This window comes from Homo sapiens, chromosome 2, assembly GCF_000001405.40.
Source record: "Homo sapiens chromosome 2, GRCh38.p14 Primary Assembly".
Taxonomy (NCBI): Eukaryota; Metazoa; Chordata; class Mammalia; order Primates; family Hominidae; genus Homo; species Homo sapiens.
In genome coordinates this window covers 101,092,042-101,114,793 of record NC_000002.12, presented here as the reverse complement: position 1 = coordinate 101,114,793, position 22,752 = coordinate 101,092,042, and the positions used below count along the sequence as shown (strand labels likewise).

The following is a 22,752-nucleotide window of genomic DNA, read 5'->3' as shown; positions in this document are numbered from 1 at the left end:
CCCTACAGAAGAGAAGACAGTGTCTGAGAGTACACTTTTAGTACCTGCTGAAATGTCTGCACTGTGTGCTTCTTTCTAAAACCAGAACAAAGTAAAAACAAAAAGAAACTCTGTTTAGTCCGTGATATAAATTTAATTACTGACACAGTGTCTTCTGCCCAGTCCAGGATGAGATTAGTAGGGTACTGTAACAGAACCATGTAACTGTTGTGTTGCAAATTACTGAAGGACATATGGCAGGCTTTGAGTAATCGGATTTCAAGATCAGAATCCACAGTGAACAAAACTCCAGGTACTTGGAGCATACGGAAAAAGTTTCCTGTAAGTGAGTTTAAACAACTGGGTTCTTTGAATTTATTTTACTGAAAGGGCTAATTAAACAAATATTTATTGAGGGCACAGCAGGAACCAGGTATTTATGCCAGGTGTTGCGAACCGATAAAGGATCCCAGCCCTTACCCTTGCACCCCCTTATATGTGCACTTGAGAAAGCTTCTGTAGTTTGTAAATATCTGACATTTAGTTGTAGCAAACTAGATATAATTTTATGCCTCTGTTATCAAAGATAGAAATGTTGACATAAAAATCAAGTAAATATGAGCTTTACAGCAAAGGTTGTAAAGGGTGTTGGAAACAGTCGTGCCAAACACTTTTGTGCTAAGCCTGACTGTTTTTAATATACCTGCACATTTTCAAGATGAATGGAACCCACTGTGGCCTCACTGGCTGCAGTTTGCAAATGATTCATCCTTCCCCTAGGGGAAGATTAATCAACTAGAGTGTCCTGAGCACGTAGTGGGTGTTCAATAGATAGTTGCTTGTTTTAGGAATTGCACAAGAGTTGCTGTCTTGAAATGCATGTAGCTTGGTGAGCCTGATGAAACAGGCAGACTCATTCCTTTTCAAGATTTGTTTGCAGTTTTACAGGCTCCCTGGGGAGCTCTTCCTGCGTGAGGAGCCGGAATCCGCCGCAGAGCAACCGTTTTTTTATTTTGAACTTGAGCCTATGGAGTTGTCTTCCTTCACTGACCCCTTTGCCTCTCATATTGATTTCCATTTTGCAAAGGAGGCACTCTTGCGTTGTCTTATTTATATGTTTTTCTCTGATCCAGGAGTGCCTCCAAACTCCATTTCCTGCCTTTTATTATGTACAGGGCCATTAAACAAGAGTGTGGTTTGCAAGGTGGAGGTAGAATTGTGTCTGTAACAGTAGCATACAGGGCTGTCAGGCTGCAGGCGGTATTTGTGATTAAATCTGGCTGGGAAACTGATTTGTGCATCATGGGCTGTGAGTCTCGCTGAACAAGTTTAACAGCCTTTCTGCAGCTGTCTCTGATCATGAAACAAGAAATCTTAGTATTTCATGTTCAGTCTTGTTTTTGTTTTGTTGATTTTTTTTTTTTTAACTTCCAATTCTCAGTATCCTGTGTGGGAACTGAATTGTCTAAATCTATGGCCAGTAAGGAAAGAGGCTAGAAGGACATATACCAATTAGTTATTGCTGAGTGGCAAGATGAGCGATTAAGCTTAGTTTTCTTCTTTGTGGTTTTATATGTTTTCCAAAATTCTATAACAAAAATGGATTAATTTTGGAATCAACAGGAAAAATTGCTTTTAGGAGGACAAATTGAGATTAGACCTTATTAGGGAAGGTTTTTGGGAAAGATATTCTTTATAACTGGTTCTCTTGATGTGATTTTGGGAGTACAGGTAATACCTGTTGGACTTGTTAAAATGGGATGTCAAAAGTGATACGTTATTCAGACTCAGATGGGAAGTCTTGTGTTACAGCCTGCACGGGTATCAGAGTGCGCTGGGCTGTTAAAGTACTTGACCCAAGGCAGATACTGTCTCAATGAAATGGAGAAGTAGTCAGAAATGTTTCAGCAAGGGTTCTTTTGACGTAGCAGAAACTGGCAAAAGAGTGCTGCCTGTGCCGTTACGTTTGATTACAACATAGTGTCATATTGTTCTAGTCTTCATGAGTTAGGGGCTACTGGTCTCTAAGGGAGGAAGGTTTGGGATTAAAATGGGCATGTCTGGAAAGAGCCCAAAAGAAAGGTAAGGGCGGGTTACACAAAGTTGGAACCATCAGGACCGTGAGTGGCCAATACCCTGAGCAGTCAGGCCTCCATTCATGGCCTTTGGGAGACTGAGAATGGCACCTCAACGTCCAGGGAAGAGCTGTGGATAGTCCTGGATTGTCCTGCGTTTGGCAGCGGAGGTGGACCAGGCTGTTCCAGTCTAACCCTGATGTCTCTGGCACCTGGCATTTCATTTGAAGACTGTATCAGATCTTAAAGCCAAGCTCTTTGTGACATCTTGGTTTTCCTTCTCCCATTATGGCCCTGGCCTTTCATTTTATAGACTTGAATCATCTGTTCACGACGAGAAATGAAATCTAATTGCTCTTCATAACCATCATGGCAGGAGACCACCTTAGATCAATGGATGGCCAAGTGGATAGATTCGCTGGGGAGTTTCCACAGAACTGTATTCTTTAAAGCCACAGCAACAAGTGTGAGAAAGACACAGCAGTGACTGGGTTTGGAGCTGGCTGCTGTGATGCTAAGGGTTCTTGCTGTCATGTGTTTGAGCATGATATCACCCTGCTTGGAGGCTCAATACAACAGGACCCCTACGTTTGGTCTGAGGCAAAGCAGATGACTTGGTCCCCATCCAGGGGTTATTTATGGAGCAGCTAGAGGACTGTGTCAGGGGTGAGCAATGTGGACCCAGAGCACATCTGTGTTCAGATGGATTTATGATTCGTTGCTTGGGGATGAGGTTAGGAAAAGTTGTTTTTTTATTTACATTAGGAGCTCAACTGCAGAAATCTCTGACCACTAGAATTTCACAGGTTTTTTTTTTTTTTTTAAAACTATGGTCAAGTACACAACATTTGACCATTGTAACCACTGTTAAATGTACAGTTTGGTGGCATTATGTACATTTGCATTGCTGTGCCAGCATCACCACCAGACATCTTCAGGATTCTTTTCATCCTGCAAAACTGAATCTCTGCACCCAATAAAGAATTTTCAGGTTTTGAGTGAAGACTCAAACCAATTTCTCCCTCCTGTAATTCAGTGTGAATCAGACAGTCAGTCCAGGTAGCGTAACTCGCTCCAGACACCTGAGGCTAGCAGCCACACCCATTGTCCTCTCTTGGTTTCCTGAGAAAGCAAAGGACCATTGTGTGGATGTCATCATTCCCATGTATCTGGGGCACCATGTGCAGGTGACTGCTCATTCTGTTCTTGAGAACGAGGGCCAGCATCCCTCCCTTGCAATGCCCTTGAAATGCTCCTCCGGACCTGCACTCGCGCACACACTCAGGCATTCGTGTTGTGGATTCGGCAGGCTCGTTCCACCAGCCATGATGGGCACAGGACCGCGCATGTTGTCTGCTTAGTTATAAACGGTGAGCTTCTCAGGTTGCCACCGCCGGAGCATCCTGCGTGATATGGTCGCCCTGCAGCTTTGTCCGCTGCTCTGCTGCACGCCCTGAAAAATAGCAGTCATCTCTTGGTTTAGTGGGAATTCGTGGGGATCATAAGAGCTCTCATTAAGAGTGATATTGAATTATGAAATGCTTTGTAAAAACAATATTCAAAAGTTGGATAATTTGGATTATGAATTTTACTTTGAATAGGTAGATTTCTCATGTTGCCAATGCAAATTTCCCCAACATTTTTCTTTTCTTTTTACTAGTCATTAGAAAGGACTTCATGTGGTCTTTTTCGGTTATTTGTGACTTTTCGTGAATAAAAGTTTTTCTCTTTGTTCTGGTTCTTTTTTTTTTTTTTTTTTGCGATGGAGTTTTGCCCTTGTTGCCCAGGCTGGAGTGCAGTGGCGCAATCTCGGCTCACTGCAACCTCCACCTCCCGGGTTCAAGTTCAAGTGATTCTCCAGCCTCAGCTTCCCAAGTAGCCAGGATTACAGGTGTGTGCCACCCTGCCCGGCTAATTTTTTTTGTATTTTTTGTAGAGATGGGGTTTCACCATATTGGCCAGGCTGGTCTTGAATTTCTGACCTCAGGTGATCCACCCGCCTCCGAAAGTGCTGGGATTACAGATGTGAGACACCGCGCCTGGCCTGTTCTGGTTCTTTATTTGCTTTTCTCTCTAACCCTCAAAAACAGTGACAGCAGCCAAAGCAAACAGCCCTAGCATGAAGACAGCTATCTAGTGCAGCTGGTTTCCCCACAGTGGCTTGTGGTGTACCGTGAAGGAGCCATCACTGTTTAACGGCTTGTGTATAGTGAGAAGTCCTTCTATTACTCCAGTAATAACGTTTTCCATCATTGAGCTGCTCAGATGTACTTCTGGGCCCAAAGCTGTTAGGGAAGGCATACTTTCTTTAATGTAGGTGGGAGTGGGGCGGGGAAGAGGGATGGGTGTTACTGTTTCTTAAAAACGGGTTTTATTGTGCTATGGTACTATTATTGGTGAGAGCAGAGCACTCTGCCACCACTGCCTGTGGTTAGCACAAGGCCCAACACAGTGGTTATAAAAACCATTAAGCCATGGGAAGGCTTCTCTGAGTACCCCTGTTTGCCCTGAATCAGTAGCTGTCATTTTGTCTCAGACTTAGTACCATCACTGTGCATCAGATCCAGCCAGAATGAAAGAATTGCTGCACTATTGCTTAGAAGCAAATTATTAGTAGGCCTCTATTTGGGCCCTAATTATAAAACTTGTCACTTGACATCTATCTCAGCCAGAGTTGTTATTCTAAGAGCCTAAAAATAGGAGTGTTGTGCTCGCTGAGACGCCAGGAGGATTTTCCTGTAGCGCCAGACAAGCCATATGGAACTGCTGCGGAAAGGAAAGCAGGATGCACGAGGTGGCGGCCCTGCAGCCCTTGAGTGGGGCCTCATTCCTGGAGATGCAGCAAAGAGTTTGCCGGTTTGGGCTTGTGGAGGGAAAGTCAGTCTGAATGTAGATGGAACTGTAGGTTTGTAAATGATGTAGTATTTTTAAAAATAAGTGTTTGCCTGTCTCTAACCAGTCCTCACCCAGTAGAAGAGAACGTGGGCTCTGGAGCCAGGGCTGGGGAGGCCCGGCATCATCTCTCAGTGCTCAGGGCCTCAGCTGCTTCATCCCATCTGCGGAAAGGTGGTGGGAGGATCAGATGAGAAAACATGCACGTGGGTAGGAAGAACAGCAGTATTTTTTTTTTATGACCCTGCTCATAAGTATTGCCCAAAGGCCTCCTTGTGAGTTATCTTCAGCTTCCTTATAAAAGGACGGACTAAGTAGGGCTGCACGCTGTTGTGGGAGCATGCATTAACATTTTTCCGTATAGTTGCTTTCTCTATGTGTATATATGTATATATTTTTGTCTTTGACCCGTTTGAAATTTGCAGACATGTTATCCAATTTTCTGATAATGTTGAAGGCATTCTTTGCCATGTTAACCGTTTTTTGTTTGCCCATTCAACAAAAACTTATGGGTAGTTCTTTCTTCCTGAGTTTTCTTTTCTCACCCGTATCTTCCCCTTGTCTGCAGAGTTGTGCCAGGGACACTCACTGCCCTGCCTGCCAGCTTTGCATCTCCTCTGTGGTGCTGGTCCTTTGTACCGTGGGTGGTTCCACCCTGAATGCTCTAGTTTACCCCCTGGTTTCATGCGACTCCCCCACCCCAACCCTGGTTTCCTATGGGGGCAGTTAGCATTTGCACAGATGTGGGGGTCACTCTCCCCCGCTTCTCTGCAGGTGGGCACTGATTGACTTGATTTTCCTTGACACTTCTTAAAAAAATAAACTTTATTTTTTAGAACAGTTTTAGATTTACAGAAAAATTGTGAGGACAGTACAGAGGGTTCTGGTATACCCCATACCTGGTTTTGGTTTCTCATGCTACTGACAACTTGTAGTGGTATGGCCTATTTGTTACAATTAATGAACTGATATTGTTACATTATTGTGGTAGGCTGAATAAAGGCTCCATCCTGTGAATGTTAGGTCCCCGTGACAAAGGAGCATTAAGGTAGTAGATGGAAGTAAGGTTGCTTATCAGCTGACCTTAAAATAGGGAGATTATCCTGGAGTAATGGTGGGTGGGGAGGGTGGGGTGCCAATGTGATCACAAGGGTTCTTATAACTGGACGAGGGGATCTGAAGAGAGGACCAGAGAGTTGGTAGTGTGGGAAGAACTTGGCCTGATGTTGCTGGTCTTGGAGATGGAGCAAGGGGCCCCGAGCCAAGTAAAGTTGTTGGTCTCAGAAGCTGGAAAGGGCAAGCAGACCTCGGAGACGCGCACCTGTCACCACCTCGATCCTAGTGCAGTGCGTTCTGTATCAGACTCATACGTTTGTTTTGTTTTAAGCTATTATGGTTGTGGTAGCTTGTTATGGCAGCAGTAACAAATGAATACAATTATTATTACCCAGAGTCCAGGTCTTATTCAGATTTCCCTAGTCTTGTGTTCCAGGATTCCATTCAGGACAACACATTACATTTAGTTGTCAATGTGGCTGGGACAGTTTCTCAGACTTTCCCTGTTTTGGATGACCTTCACAGTTTTGAGAAAATGCTGGTCCTGTATTTTATAGAATGTCGCTCAGTTGGGATTTATCCGATGCTTTTCTTATGATAGATTAGGGTGATTGGCTTTGGGAGAGGAAGACCACAGGGATAAAGTGCCATTCTCATCAGTTCATATCAAGGGTACATTCTCCCCTCCCCTCCCCTCCCTCCCCCCACTCCCCTCTTTTTCTTTCTATTATTTTTTGAGACAGAGCCTTGCTCTCTTGCCCAGGCTCGAATGCAGTGGTGATCATAGCTCACTGCAACCTCAAACTCTTGGCTCAGGTGATCCTCCTACCTCAGCCTCCTGAGTAGCTGGGACTACAGGCACCTGCTACCATGCCTGGCTCAAGGGTACCTTCTGTCAACATGACTTACCTTTATTGATGCTGTCCTCAATCACCTGGCTGAGGTAGTATTTGTCAGTTTCTTCAATGTAAAGTTACTTCCCCCACCTTTCATACTGTGGGTTGTGTATGGTTAGCATTCCTTACTTTTTGACACTGTAAATGGTTCCAGGCTCATCTTGTATATTTCCTGTTCCAGTTCCAGAAGCAGCCATTTCTCCAAGGAGCCCTGGTTCCTTTCATTGGAGCATGGTAGTAGAAACCAAATCTGCGCTCTATGTGTGCTCATTGCTTCTAGGCCCTCTCAGAGGGCAAGGAATTTTTTTCCTGATAGAGCAAGGAAATACATCTGTGTGAATTTACTCTTGTGTATATGCATGTCTATAAATATTTCTTCATGCAACTGTATTAGGATTCTCCAGGGAGACAGAACCTCTAGGATATATATCTTCCTCTGCCTTTTTTTTTTCTGTCTGGGCCCTCAGCCAATTGGATAGTGCCTGCCCACAGAGAGATTGGATCTTCCATACTTAGTCCACTGATTCAAATGCTTATCTCTTTTGGAAACACCCTCACAGATACCACCAGAAATAATGCTTTACCAGCGATTGGGGTATCTCTTAGCCCAGTCAAGTTGACACCTACAATTAACCATTGCAGTAACCCTTTGTATCTATAGTAAGCTGAACCTGAGTTCACACCTGTCTCTGACTCTAGTTCATTACCATCTGGATCATTCTTGCCTCTTTCCCTTGCCTGTCTATAAGCTCCTACTGCAGAAGTGAGAAACCTGGCTCTCACGCTCTGCCATCCTTTTTCTTAATGGTTCATTTACAATATACTGATGCTCCTTAGCTTACGATGGGGTTACATCCCAATAAACTCATCCTAAGTTGAAAATATCATCGTCAAAAATGCATTGAATACACCTGACCCTCCAAACATTATAGCTTAGCCTCACCCACCTTAAACGTTCTCAGAACACTTACATTAGCCTACAGTTAGGCAAAGTCTTCTAACACAAAGCATATTCTATAACAAAGTGTGAATATCTCATGTAATGTATTGAATACAGTGCACTGTAGGGCACAGTACCGGTTGTTTATCTTTGTGATCACGTGGCTGACTGGGACCTGCAGCTCACAGCTGCTGCCCAGCATCACGAGAGAGTGCTGTGCCTTGCACCACTAGCCTGGGAAAAGGTGAAAGTTCAAAATTCAAAGGATGGTTTCTACCGAATGTGTGTTGCTTTCATACCACTGTAAAGCCAAAAAACCGTTAAGTGGAACCATTGTTAGTCGAGGACCATCTGTGCATGTGTAGTAGTTTCAGAGTTGTTAACCTGTGGCCCATGGAGTCCTGTACTTGTGTATGGTTCTTTGCCGTCCTTTCCACAGACTCCACTTATTTCCAAAATTACTTAGGGCTGTCCCCTATTTCCCTCACTCCTCGCACTGAGGCTGTTTCAAACATGTGTAGTACAGTCAGGTTGCTGGGTCACATCCTGCATTAAATCCAGGGGTCCCTGACCTCCTAAAGGATTTATTTTTAAAACTTGCAAACATTAAGGTTTACTCTTTGTCCTGTAAAGTTCTGTGGGTTTTGACAAACACACAGTGTCATGCATCCACAATCACAATATTATACAGAATAGTTTTCACTGCCCTAAAATTCCCCTATGTTTGACTAATTTAACCTTTTCCCTCTAGCAGCCACTTGTCTTTCTACCCTTGCTATAGTTTTCCCTTTTCCTTTTTCTGGAATAATTGGAATCATACAGTATGTAGCTTTCTTAGGAGGGTTTCTTTTCCTTAGCAATATGCTTTTAAGTTTCCTGTTTGTGAAAAGTCATGGCTCGATAGATTTTTTTTTTTTAAATCACAGAATAATACTCTACTGAATGGATCTAACCACAGTTTGGTTATCCATTCACCTATTGAAGGACATCTTGGCTGCATCCAGTTTTAGATAATTATGAATAAAGCTGCCATAAACATTCACTTGCAGGTTTTTCTGTAGACATATGTTTTTACGTCAGTTGGGTAAATACCTAGGTGTGCGATTGCAGGGATCATACGATAAGGCTGTGTTTAGTTTTGTACAGAACTATCAAGTTATCTTCTAGGTGGCTGTGCATTTTGTATTACCATCAGCAATGAATGAGTCCCTGCTGCTACACATCCTCACAATTGGTATCGTCAGTTTTTTGGATTTTAGCCATTCTATTAAGTATATAATGGTATCTTGTTTTAATTTACAATTTCCTAGTGACAAAAGATGTTGGACAACTATATATATATATATGTTTTTTTTTTTTTTTTAATTTGAGACAGAGTCTGGTCTGTCACCCAGGCTGGAGTGTAGTGGCATGATCTTAGCTCACTGCAACCTCTGCCTCCCGGGTTCAAGTGATTCTCCTGCTTCAGCCTCCGGAGTAACTGGGATTACAGGCACGAGCCACCATGCCAAGCTGATTTTTGTATTTTTAGTAGAGACAGGGTTTCGCCATGTTGACCAGGGTGGTTGCAAAACACTTCATATGTTATTTGTCATCTGTATATCTTCTGTGGTGAGATATCTATTCAGATTTTTTGCCTATTTTTAATTGGGTCATTTGTTTTCTTATTGTTGAGTTTTAAGAATTCTTTGTATATTTTGGATATAAGTCCTTTATCAGACGTGTTTTGCAAGTACTTTCTCTCAGTCAGTGGCTTGTCTTTTGGTACTCAGGTGTCCTTTGCAGAGCAAAAATTTTAAAATAAAGTCTAACATCAATTTTTTCCCCATGGATCATGCTTCTGGTGTTATCTCTACAGAGTCATCACCACACTTAGTCATCTAGGCCTTCTCCTGTGTTATGTTGTAGAAGTTTTTTTTTTTTTTTTTTTGAGATAGAGTTTTGCTCTTGTTGCCCAGGCTGGAGTGCAATGGTGTGATCTCGGCTCACTGCAACCTCCACCTCCCGGGTTCAAGCGATTCTCCTCCTGAGCCTCCTATTCAGCCTCCAGAATAGCTGGGATTACAGGCGCATGCCACCATGCCCGGCTAATTTTTGTATTTTTAGTAGAGACGGTTTTATCATATTGGTCAGGCAGGTCTTGAATGCCTCACTTCAGGTTATCTGCCCGCCTTGGCCTTCCAAAGTGCTGGGATTACAGGCATGAGCCACCGCGCCTGACCTATGTTGTAGAAGTTTTATAGTTTTCTGTTTTACACGTAGGTTTATGAGCCATTTTGAATTACTTTTTGTGAAAGATGTAAGGTCTGTGTCTGGGTTCATTTCTTTGCATACGGATGTCTAGTGATTTAGCACCGTTTGTTGAAAAGACTGTCCTTCTCCACTGAACTACCTTTGCTTTTTAGTCAACGATAAGTATTTACTAAGTATTGACTTACATATCTAATCTATTACCAGTACCACCACACTGTCTTGATTACTGTAACTTTGTAGCAAGTCTTGAAATTGCGTAGTGTGAGTCCTCCAACTTTGTTCTTCTTCTCCAGTATTGTGTTGGCTTCTCTATATCTTGACATTTTTATATCAACTTTAGAATCAGTTGTCAATATTTACAAAATAGTGTGTGGGATTTTTATTGGGATTGCGTTGAATCTGTAGATAAAATTGGGAGGAATTACATCTTAACAGTATTAAATCTTCTAAACCATGAATGTGGAATATCTATCTATTTAGATCTCCTTTGATTTCTTTCATCAGAGTTTTGTAGTTTGATACAAATAAACCCTATGCATATTTATTTAGGCTTATGCCTAACAAAAATACCTTTTACTGTTGTCAATGGTAATTTTTTTTCCTTCAAATTCTAGTTGTTCAAATTCCAGTTGTTCCAGTTCCAGTTGTTCCAATTGCTGGTATGTAGGAGAGATGTTGTCATGTTAACCTTGAATCCTGCAGCCTTGTTCTACTTGCTTATTAATTCCTGGAGATTTTCTTGCTGATTCTCTGAGATATTTCTACAAAGACAAGCATATCATCTGTGAACAAAGTTTTGTTTTTTTCTTCTCTCTCTCTCTATATATATATCTTTTATTTTCACTTTTTATCTTACTGCATTAACTCTGATGTTGAATAGGAGTGATGTAAGAAGACATTCTTGTCTTGTTCCTGATTTTAGTGGGAAAATGTCCAGTTTCTCATCATTAAGTATGATGTTAACTGTGGGGAGTTTTTCTGGAGATGTTCTTTATCAAGTTAAAGAGTTCTGGCCATGCGCGGTGGCTCACGCCTGTAATCCCAGCACTTTGGGAGGCCAAGGCGGGCGGATCATGAGGTCAGGAGATCGAGACCATCCTGGCTAACACGGTGAAACCCTGTCTCTACTAAAAATACAAAAAAATTAGCCGGGCGTGGTGGCGGGTGCCTGTAATCCCAGCTACTCGGGAGGCTGAAGCAGGAGAATGGCATGAACCTGGGAGGCGGAGCTTGCAGTGAGCCGAGATAGTGCCACTGCATTCCAGCCTAGGCAGCAGAGTGAGACTCTGTCTCAAAAAAAGAAAAAAAAAAAAAAAGAAGTTCTTGATCCTTAGTTTTTTTTTTTTTGTTTCCTGCTTCCCCCTTCCAAGTTTTTTTTTTTTTAAAATCATGAATGGATGTTGGATTTTGTCAACATTTTTTGTGTATCAATTGATGTGATCATATGGTTTTTTCTTCTTTAGCCTGTGGATGTCATGTATTATATTGATCGATATTTCCAATGTTGAACCATCCTTGCATACCTGGAGTAAGTCCCATTTGATCATGGTATCATTCATTTTATGCATTGTTGGTTTCTATTTGCTCATATTTTGTTGAAAAATTTTGCTTGAGAGCTATTAGTCTGTAGTTTCCTTTATTTTAGTATCTTTATTTGATTTTACTATATTACAGGAACGTTGGCCTCCTTACTGTAATAGAATGAATTCGCGTGTTCCCTCTGCTCTGTTTTCTGGAATAGATTGTGGAAACTTGTTATCATTTCTTTCTTAAGGTTTAGTAGTATTCACCGGTGAAAGTATCTCAGCTTGGTATTTTTTTTTTAATTTTATTTTTTTTGCTATGTTGCCCAGGCTGGTCTGGAACTCCTGGCCTCAAGCAGTCTTCCCACCTTGGCCTCCCAAAGTGCTGGGATTACAGGTGTGAGCCATTGTGCCTGGCCTGTAATACCCCTCTTTATTCCTGATAATATTTCCTGTTTTGAAGTCTATTTGTCTAAAATTAATACAGCTACTCCTGCTTTCTTTTGATTAATGTTAACGTAGTATACTTTTTCCATATCCCTTTACTTTTTTTCATTCCTTTACTTTTAACCTATGTGAGTCTTAAATGAGTTTCTTCTGGACAACATACAGTTGAGCCATGTTTTTTGTTGTTTTTTTTTTGGTTTTTAATCCACTCTGAAAATCTCATTTAGTTGGTGTACTTAGACCTTTCATACTTGAAGAGATTTTTTTTTTTTTTAACTTTTTATGGAATCTCGCTCTGTCACCTAAGCTGGAGTGCAGCAGCGTGGTTTCAGCTCACTGCTATGTCTGCCTCCCAGGTTCAAGCAATTCTCCTGCCTCAGCCTCCTGAGTAACTGGGATTACAGGCACCGGCCACAACGCCTTGCTAATTTTTGTATTCTTAGTAGAGATGGGGTTTCACCATGTTGGCCAGGCTGGTCTTGAACTCCTGACCTCAGGTCATCTGCCTGCCTCAGCCTCCCAAAGTACTGGGATTACAGGCGTGAGCCACTGCACCCGGCCCTTGAAGGGATTATTGATGTAGTTGGATTAATATCTACTATGTTTGTAAGTGTTTTCTATTCATTGCATCTTTCTTTTTCTCTTTCTGTCTCTCCCCTCCCCTCCCCTTCCCTCCCCTCCTCTCCACTCCCCTCCTCTTTCTCTTCTAAAAAAAACCAACAAAACAGGATACATGTGCAGAATGTGCAGGTTTGTTACATAGGTATATGTGTACCATGGTGGTTTGCTGTACCTATTGACCCATCCTCTACATTCCTTCCCCTCACCCCCTACCCCCCAACAGGCTCTGGTGTGTGTTGTTCCCCTCTCTGTGTCCATGTGTTCTCATTGCTCAACTCCCACTTATGAGTGAGAACAGGAGGTGTTTGATTTTCTGTTCCTGCATTAGTTTGCTGAGGATCATGGCTTCCAGCTTCATCTATCCCTGCAAAGGACATGATCTCATTCCTTTTTATGGCTGCATAGTATTCTGTAGTGTATATGTACCACATTTTCTTTATGCAGTCTATCATTGATGGGCATTTGGGTTGTTTCCATGTCTTTGCTGTTGTAAATAGTGCTGCAATAAACATACATGTGTATGTATCTTTATAGTAGAATGATTGATATTCCTTTGGGTATATACCCAGTAATAGGATTTCTGGGTCAAATGGTATTTCTGATTCTAGATCCTTGAGGAATTGCCATACTGTCTTCCACAATGGTTGAAGTAATTTACATTCCCACCAACAGTGTAAAAGCATTCCTATTTCTCCACAGCCTCGCCAGCATCTATTGTTTCCTGACTTTTTAATAATTGCCATTCTGACTGGCGTGAGATGGTATCTCATTGTGATTTTGATTTGCATTTCTCTGATGATTAGTGATGTTGAGCTTTTTTTCATACGTTTGTTGGCTGCGTAAATATCTTCTTTTGAGAAGTATCTGTTTATATCCTTTACCCAGTTTTTGATGGAGTTATTTAGCTTTTTCTTGTAAATATGTTTAAGTTCCTTGTAACTTCTGGATATTAGATCTTTGTCAGATGAGTAGATTGCAAAAATTTTCTCCCATTCTGTAGGTTGCCTCTTCACTCTGATACTAATTTCTTTTGCTGTGCAGAAGATCTTTAGTTTAATTAGATCACATCTGTCAATTTTGGCTTTTGTTGCAGTTGCTTTTGGTGTTTTAGTCATGAAGTCTGTGCTCATGTCTATGTCCTGGATGGTATTGCCTAGGTTTTCTTGTAGGGTTTTTATGGTTTTGGGTTTTACATTTTAGTCTTTAATCCACCTTGAGTTAATAGTTAATTTTTCTATAAGGTGTAAGGAAGGGGTCCAGTTTCAGTTTTCTGCATGTGGCTAGCCAGTTTTCCCAGTACCATTTACTGAGTAGGAGATCCTTTCCCGATTGCTTATTTTTGTCAGGTTTGTTGAAGATCAGATGGTTGTAGACGTGTGGTGTTATTTCTGAGGTCTCTGTTCTGCTGCATTGGTCTGTGTGCCTGTTTTGGTACCAGTACCATGCTGTTTTGGTTACTGTAGCCTTGTAGTATAGTTTGAGATCAGGTAGTGTGTACTAAAAATAAATAAATTTTTAGTAGTATTTTCAGCTTTGTTCTTTTTGTTTAGGATTGTCTTGGCTATATGGGGTCTTCTTTGATTCCATATGAAATTTAAAATAGTTTTTTCTAATTCTGTGAAGAATGTCAATGGTAGTTTGATGGGAATAGCATTGAATCTATGAATTTCTTGGAGCAGTATGGCCATTTTCACAATATTGATTCTTCCTATCCATGAGGATGAAATGTTTTTCCATTTGTTTGTGTCCTCTCTTGTTTCCTTGAGCAGTGGTTTGTAGTTCTCTTTGAAGAGACCCTTCACATCGCTTGTTAGCTGTATTCCTAGGTATTTTATTCTCTTTGTAGTGATAGTGAGTGGGAGTTCATTGATGATTTGGCTCTCTGCTTGTCTGTTGTTGGTGTATAGGAATGCTTGTCATTTTTGCACATTGATTTTTGTATCCTGAGACTTTGCTGATGTTACCTCTCAGTTCAATAAGGTTTTGGGCTGAGATGATGGGGTTTTCTAAATATAAAATTGTGTCATCTGTAAACAGAGACAACTTGATTTCCTCTCTTCTATTTGAATACCCTTTATTTCTTTCTCTTGTCTGATTGCCCTGGCCAGAACTTCCAATACTATGTTGAATAGGAGTGGTGAGAGAGGGCATCCTTGTCTTATACTGGTTTTCAATGGAAATGCTTCCAGCTTTTGCCCATTCAGTGCAATATTGGCTGTGGGTTTGTCATAAATAGCTCTTATTATTTTGAGTTATGTTCCATCAATACCTAGTTTATTGAGAGTTTTTAACATGAAGGGATGTTGAATTTTATCAAAGGCCTTTTCTGCATCCATTGAGATAATCATGTGGTTTTTGTCTTTGGTTCTGTTCATGTGATAGATTATGTTTATTGATTTGCATATGTTGAACCAGCCTTGGATCCCAGGGATGAACCTGACTTGATCATGGTGGATATGTTTTTTGCTGTGCTGCTGGATTTGATTTGCCAGTATGTTATTGAGGATTTTTACATCGATGCTCATCAGGGATATTGGTCTGAAGTTTTCTTTCTTTTGTTGTGTCTCTTCCTGGTTTTGGTATCAGGATGATGCTGGCTTCGTAAAATGAGTTAGGGAGGAGTCCCTCCTTTTCAATTGTTTGGAATAGTTTCAGAAGGAATGGTACAAGCTCCTCTTTGTATTTCTGATAGAATTCAGCTGTGAATCCATCTGGTCCTGGGCTTTTTTTGGTTGGTGGGCTATTAATTACTGCCTCAATTTCAGAGCTTGTTATTGGTCTATTCAGGGATTCGACTTCTTCCTGGTTTAGTCTTGGTAGATGGTATGCGTCCAGAAATTTATCCATTTTGTCTAGATTTTCTAGTTTATTTGTGTGGAACTATTTATAGTATTCTCTGATGGCAGTTTGTATTTTTGTGGGATCAGTGGTGATATCCCCTTTATCATTTTTTATTGTGTCTATTTGATTCTTCTCTCTCTTCTTTATTAGTCTAGCTAGTGGTCTTGTTAATTTTTTCAAAAAACCATCTTCTGGATTCATAGATTTTTTTTTTTTTTGGATGGTTTTTCGTGTCTCTATCTCCTCCACTTCTTCTCTGATCTTAGTTATTTCTTGTCTTCTGCTAGCTTTTGGAACAGTTTTCCCTTGCTTCTCTAGCTCTTTTAATTGTGATGTTAGGGTATTGATTTGAGATCTTTCTAGCTTTCTGATGTGAGGATTAAGTGCTATAAATTTCCCTCTTAACACTGCTTTAGCTGTGTCTCAGAGATTCTGGTACGTTGTCTTTTTGTTCTCATTGGTTTCAAAGAACTTGATTTCTGCTGTAATTTCATAATTTACCCAGGAGTCTTTCAGGAACAGATTGTTCAATTTCCATGAAATTGTGTGGTTTTGGTTGAGTTTCTTAATCCTGAGTTCTGGTTTGATTGCACTGTGGCCTGAGAGACTGTGTGTTATGATTTTAGTTCTTTTGTATTTGCTGAGGAGTGTTTTACTTCCAATTATGTGGTCAATTTTAGAATAAGTGCCGTGTGGCACTGAGAAGAATGTATACACTGTTGATTTGGGGTAGAGAGTTCTGTAGATGTCTAGTAGGTCCACTTGGTTCAGACCTGAGTTCAAGTCCTGAATATCCTTGTTAATTTTCTGTCTTGTTGATCTAATACTGACAGTGGGGTGTTATAATCTCCCACTATTGTTTGGCAGTCTAAGTCTCTCTCTTTTTTTTTTGAGATGGAGTTTTGCTCTTGTTGCCCAGGCTGGAAAGCAATGGTGTGATCTCAGCTCACTGCAACATCTACCCTATGGTTTCAAGCGATTCTCCTGCCTCAGCCTCCTGAGTAGCCCCTGCCACCACACCTGGCTAATTTTGTATTTTTAATAGAAATGGGGTTTCACCATGTTGGTCAAGCTGGTCTTGAACTCCTGACCTCAGGTACTCCGCCCACTTCAGCCTCCCAAAGTGTTGGGATTACAGGTGCGAGCAACCATCTCTTTTTTATTCATTGCTTTGTTCTTTCTTTTTTTAAAACCTTTCTTTTTCTGCCTTCTCTGGTTTTAATTGATTTAATTAAGTAAATGATTCTATTTGCTGTCTTTAGCATGTCAACTATACTTCCTTAAAAAAATTTGTAGTAGTTGTCTTAAGGTTTACAATATAAATTCTAAATTAATCTACATCAACCTTCAAACAATACTATACTGTTTCACATTGAATGCAGGCTTTATTTATTTTTTTGAGACAAGGTCTCACTGTGTCATCCAGGCTGGAGTACAGCAGTGTGATCAATCATAGCTCACTGTGGCCTCAAACTCTTGGGCTAATGCAGTCTTTTCACCTCAACCTTTTAAGTAGCTGGGACTGCAGGTGCATGCAATTATGCCTGGCTAATTTTTACATTTTTTGTGAAAAATGTAAAAAGTGAGATGGGATTTCACTTTGTTGCCCAGGGTGGTCTCAAATTCTTGGCCTCAAGTGATATTCCCAAAGTGCTGGGATTACAGGTTTGTGCCACTGGGCCCAGTCTAAATGCAGGTGCATTTTTTTTTTTTAAATAACAGAGTATTTCCAAGTCTTCTCTGCCATTTTTATGACTTTACTATTATTCATGTCACTTATCCATGTGCTGTAATCACCCAGTACATTCTTACTATTACTACTTTAGACGATTATCTTTTTGATCTATGGAGAATAAGAAAAATAAAATATTTTATTTTACCTTTATTCTCAGACACATTTCCTTTATATAAATTTCGGTTGCTGACCTATGTCATTTTCTTTCTCTCTGAATAATTTCATTTAACATTTTTTGCTAATTAGGTCTGCTGGAAATTATTTTCTCAGTTTTTGTTTAAGGAAGCCGTTATTTCTTCAATTTTGAAGGATAATTTCACTGGATATAGAATTCTAGGTTTTTTTTTCCTTTAAACATTTGAAATATTTTACCCCACTCTCTTGTTCGCAGGCTTTTTAAAATGAGAAGTCTGCAGTAATTCTTATCTTTGTTCCTCAAGCTGTTTTTTCCCCCTATGGCTTCTTTTAGAACATTCTCTTCATCTTTCATTTCTGCAATTTGAATATGATTTACCAATTTTTTTTGACATTTATTTTGCTTAGTGTTCTCTGTTCTTTTTCGATCTGTGGTTTGGTGTCTGTCATTAATTTTGGAAAATCCCTGACCATTATCGCTTCAAATGATTACTATCTCTTCTCCTATTATTCCAATTACGTACATCTTGTACCTTTTGGAATTGTTCCACAGTTGCTGGATGTTCTATTCCTTGTGCTGTCTCTCTCTCTCTCTCTCTCTCTCCCCCTCTCTCTCACTTTGCTTTTCAGTTTGGGAAGTTTCTATTGACTTATCTTCTAGCTCACTGATTTTTTTCCTTGACTGTGTCCATGCTGCTGATGAGCCCATCAAAGGCAGTCTTCATTTTTCCTTGATTTTCTTTTCACGTCTAGGATTTCTTATTAATTCTTCCTCAGAGTTTCCATCTCTCTGTTTACCCATCTGTTCTTGCATATTGTTTACCTTCTTCATTAGAGCCCTTATTTATTGCAGTTATTTTAAATTCTGTCTGATAATTCCAAGGTTGTGTCATATGAGTTTCATTCCAATGCTTACTTTACCTCTTCAGACTTTGTTGTAGCGTGCATTATAGTTTTTTTTTTTTTTTTTTTTTTTTTTTTGTCAAAAGCCAGACATAATATTTTGGGTAATAGGAACTGAGAAAATAGTCCTGAAGTATGAGTTTTGTGTTATTCTGGCTCAGACTTGGGCTGTGTTTCATCTTCACTGTAGTTGTAGGTGACAGAGTGTTCAGATTCCTCAGGTGTCCTTGTTATGGTCTCTCCATTTGTCTTTGGGCTTCTTTAAGAACTCCTTGGCTGAGCACTGTGGCTCACGCCTGTGATCTCAGCACTATGAGATGTCAAGGTGGGAGAATTGTCTGAGCCTAGGAGTTCGAGACTAGCCTGGGCAACATAGAGAGATCCCCATCTCTACAGAAAACTAAAAACATAAAAAAATTTAAAACAACAAAAAAAGAACTCTTTCTCAAATAGAGTCTGAGTCTTGCCATACTTCCAGCTGTCGTTACTGTCATTATACTGGAGCCTGTTGGTGTGGTGGTCAGGTATGGGGGAGGGGAAGAGTTCTATAATAGTAGCATAAATCTCAGTCTTCCATGGGCCTGTGTCCCTCGGTGTGACCTTCACAAGTGATTTCTGTTCCTCCTACCCTTACATCCCTAATGAGACAAGAAAGCTAGATGGAGTTAGCTTTCTTACTGACTAGAGAAGACTTTCTCTAGTTAATGAGAAATGCCCTTTTTGCATGGGCCAGGGAGGGTGGAAAAGGCTCTAGAAAATACTTCTCTGGCTGGGTCAAATGGTATTTCTAGTTCTAGATCCCTGAGGAATCACCACACTGACTTCCACAACCCCAATGTCCAACAATGATAGACTGGATTAAGAAAATGTGGCACATATACACCATGGAATACCATGCAGCCATAAAAAATGATGAGTTCATGTCCTTTGTAGGGACATGGATGAAACTGGAAACCATCATTCTCAGCAAACTATCGCAAGGACAAAAAACCAAACACCGCATGTTTTCACTCATAGGTGGGAATTGAACAATGAGAACACATGGACACAGGAAGGAGAACATCACACACCGGGGACTGTTGTGGGGTGGGGGGAGGGGGGGGGAGATAGCATTAGGAGATATACCTAATGCTAAATGACGAGTTAATGGGTGCAGCACACCAACATGGCACATGTATACATATGTAACAAACCTGCACATTGTGCACATGTACCCTAAAACTTAAAGTATAATAATAATAATAATAAAGAAAATACTTCTCTGGTGCGTTGGCCTTTATTAATGGAGAACGGCCTGAGGATATTGAACAATGATTACTTTTCCCTTTGCCCTGAAAGGGCCAAAGAGGATCTTCCCTGGCTCTTCACGGTGAGAACCTGGCGGGGTTCCTGGTGTTAAAACCTATGCAAGTTGTGGGGTACCCTAGAGACTGTGGCTTTCAAGAGTTTCTTACTCTTCTTACACACTCAGCCTCCAGCAAGTTGCCAAAAATCACCATTTAAATATTCCTACGATTTATGGCTCCAGCAGAAGCTATAAACTGCTCCAGGGAAGCTGATCTTGGCTGTCTCTGGATTCTTCCATCTCTCTCTACATTTCGAGGTTGTGGTTTAACCTATGCCCTTCGTTCTCTGAATAGTCTGAGAAAAATCATGGCTTTTCAATTTGTTCACCTTGTCTTTGTCATATATATGGGAGTGATAACTTCCAAGCTCTTTGCATGTTGGAGCTGAAACCGGAAGCACCCCTGTGGCTTTCTGATGGCTGCTCTGTCCACTTTCCCACCAGTTGAAGGGGCTGGGTTGGTCTTGACATAAAATGTCCTGACCTTTGCAAAAGCACCTGAGTCTTGTAGAGAAAAATTTCCACTCTTTCCAGTTAAAAAGTCACTACTTCCATATTGTGGCTGCACACCCTCCCTGCTGCTTTCATTTGATGTTGTCCAAAGTCCCTCCGGTTTTTATCAAACTAGATATGAGTTCTACAGCAGATCTCTTAATGTAGTTGAAAGTGCCAAGCATGTGGGGGTGTGGGATGAGTGGGGTCTTTAGCCCCTTTCTGATCTTCATCAGCTTCCTTATCACCACCTGCTGTCCCAGTCCTTGACAGGCAAAGGTTGTTTTATCAATCCCCTGCAACTGCAGCTTTAACCCTGTCCCCAACCTGATGTTCCTAATCACTGAGCTCCCCTGAGGTATGGCTAAGATTCTGTATTAAAGTGGCAGCCCCTTTATCCAGTAGACAGGTTTCCAGCCTCCTTTGTCATCTGGAACTTAGGAGCAAACTAGGAAGGGGGCAGGAATTCTGAGCAGCCTAAGGAGTATTTGCTAGAAAAGCTCAGTGCTCTTCCTTCTTTTCTGAGGGTTATTAAGTGGGCAGATTAAGGAGATTGCAGGGGTGGGGTGTGTTATAGCCTGGATGGGGTGAAGAGGGCCTCTGCTGGGGAGGGGATATTGGTAGCAACAGGAGGACTGATCAGATAAGTAAGTATTTTGAGAATCAGCCAGGCATGGTGGCTCACGCCTGTAATCCCAGCACTTTGGGAGGCCACATAGGTGAATTGCCTGAGGTCAAGAGTTCAAGACCAGCGTGACTGACATGGTGTACTAAAATACAAAAATTAGCTAGGCGTGGTGGCAGGTGCCTGTAATCTCGGCTACTTGGGTTGCTGAGGCAGGAGGATCGCTTGAACCTGGGAGGCGGAGGTTGCAGTGAGCCAAAATTGTGCCACCGCACTCCAACCTGGGCGATAGAGTGACCCTCCATCTCTTTTTTTTTCCCTGAGATGGAGTCTTGCTCTGTTGCCCAGGCTGAAGTGCAGTGGTGTGATCTTGGCTCACTGCAACCTCTGCCACCTGGGTTCAAGTGATTCTCCTGCCTCAGCCTCCTGAGTAGCTAGGATTACAGGCGTGTACCACCACACCTGGTTAAAATTTTTTTTTTGAGAATAATGGAAGCCAGTTTACTTGGTGTTGGAAAAGGAGTTACAAATATGGAAAGAAATGAGAACTCTGTGGTATTGGATTGCAGTTGGAGGTTTTGGTGTGAACTCGCTTTTCTCTATGTAGATATATATGAAAATGCAAATACATGTAAATGTGTCAACAAATACATGTATATGTGTGTGTGTATGTAAGTATGTATGTAAGTATGTAAATGCGTATGCAGTTGGCCTTGGAACAGTGCTGGGGCTAGGGTTGCCAACCCCCGTGCAGTCAAAAGTCCTCACATATAACTTTTGATCCCTAAAAATGTAACTACTAATAACCTACTGTTAACTAGAAGCCTTACTGATAAAACAGTTGGTTAACACATTTTTGTGTGCTATGTGTATTATATACTGTGTTCTTACAATAAAGAAAGTAGAGAAAAGGTTAAGAAAATTATAATGAAGAGAAAATATATTTACTATTCATTAAGTGGAAGGGATCATCGTAAAGGTCTTCATCCTCATCATCATCTTCATGTTGAGTAGTCTGAAGAGGAGGAGGGGTTGGCCTTGCTGTCTCAGGGTGCAGAGGCAGAAGAGACTCCACGTGTTGGTGGACCCATACAGTTCAAACCCGTGTTGTTCAAGGGTCAGCTGTACACACATACACATGTACAGACATATATTTCCTGGCTCTGTACACTGAGGGGACCTGGAGGCACCCCATTAGCAATGAGCACACCTGGCTTCCCCGTACTGGCTTTTAAATACCATTAGTCACTAAAGAAACCAGAGTTTCTTGAAGAAATGGTGGCTGGTTCCAGGGCCAGAGTAGTGAAAGTACAAGATGAAGTTGGAATATTTTGTTGTCCCAGAAAATATGAAGAACGATGAGGACACATCCGAAGGACACAAAAGCCTGCTTGAAGGGGTTCCCACTGGCCAAACCTGGGACAATCAGAGCATCAAAATATATGATAGTAATAGATTATAACCCTTTGAAAAAAGGAGAAAAACATGAGGCCATACTGATATAAGTAAGAGAATAATGAAATATTTGGTGAGGAACAGGAAATTTGCATGGCTTCAGAATACTTCTCCACAGAATACTCGTTAATTTCAAAGAAAAAGGAATAATTTTATAGTGCAGGAGCCTGGCAGCCCCAATTTGAGTCAAGTGATGAAAGCGAACGTTACCAAGAATGGGACAAGTAGAGGTCATCTGCCACCTGATAGGATGTGGTGAAAAGAACACAGCATCACTTCTGTGATTCTTGCCGAAAATATATAACCTGAATCTAATCATGACCAGGCCTCAGACAAACCCAGACTTTGGGACATGCTACAAGAAAAACTGGCCTATAAAGCTTCAAAAGTGTCAAGGTCATGAAAGTCAGTGAAAGACTTCTCCAGACCCACGTAGTCCAAAGAGACTTGACAACTGAATGTGATTCTGAACTGGATCCATTGTAGCAAAAGGACATTATTGGGACATTTGGCAATATTTGAATGGGTCTTATGATTAG

General features: G+C 41.1%; 1 protein-coding gene across 3 annotated transcripts in view, besides 3 other annotated features; it reads left to right on the top strand.

The window, feature by feature from the left end:
• The window catches only part of TBC1D8 (TBC1 domain family member 8), a 144,155-nt gene that overhangs the window by 36,589 nt on the left and 84,814 nt on the right, over nt 1-22,752 (top strand). The gene's annotated exons all lie outside the window — the stretch shown is intronic.
• Nucleotides 1,764-5,158: an enhancer, noted in NCBI's record as "VISTA enhancer hs1933". NCBI's record gives its function as "enhancer in: heart[5/9]" and the evidence as "EXISTENCE:transgenic organism evidence [ECO:0001131][PMID:17130149]".
• Nucleotides 3,966-4,465: an enhancer, noted in NCBI's record as "H3K4me1 hESC enhancer chr2:101726791-101727290 (GRCh37/hg19 assembly coordinates)". NCBI's record gives its function as "activates a minimal SCP1, AML or CMV promoter by ChIP-STARR-seq in primed H9 embryonic stem cells {active_cell/tissue: H9 hESC(primed)}" and the evidence as "EXISTENCE:reporter gene assay evidence [ECO:0000049][PMID:30033119]".
• Nucleotides 4,653-4,947: a silencer, noted in NCBI's record as "tiled region #6519; K562 Repressive non-DNase unmatched - State 21:Repr". NCBI's record gives its function as "represses a minimal TATA promoter and a strong SV40 promoter by Sharpr-MPRA in K562 cells {active_cell/tissue: K562}" and the evidence as "EXISTENCE:reporter gene assay evidence [ECO:0000049][PMID:27701403]".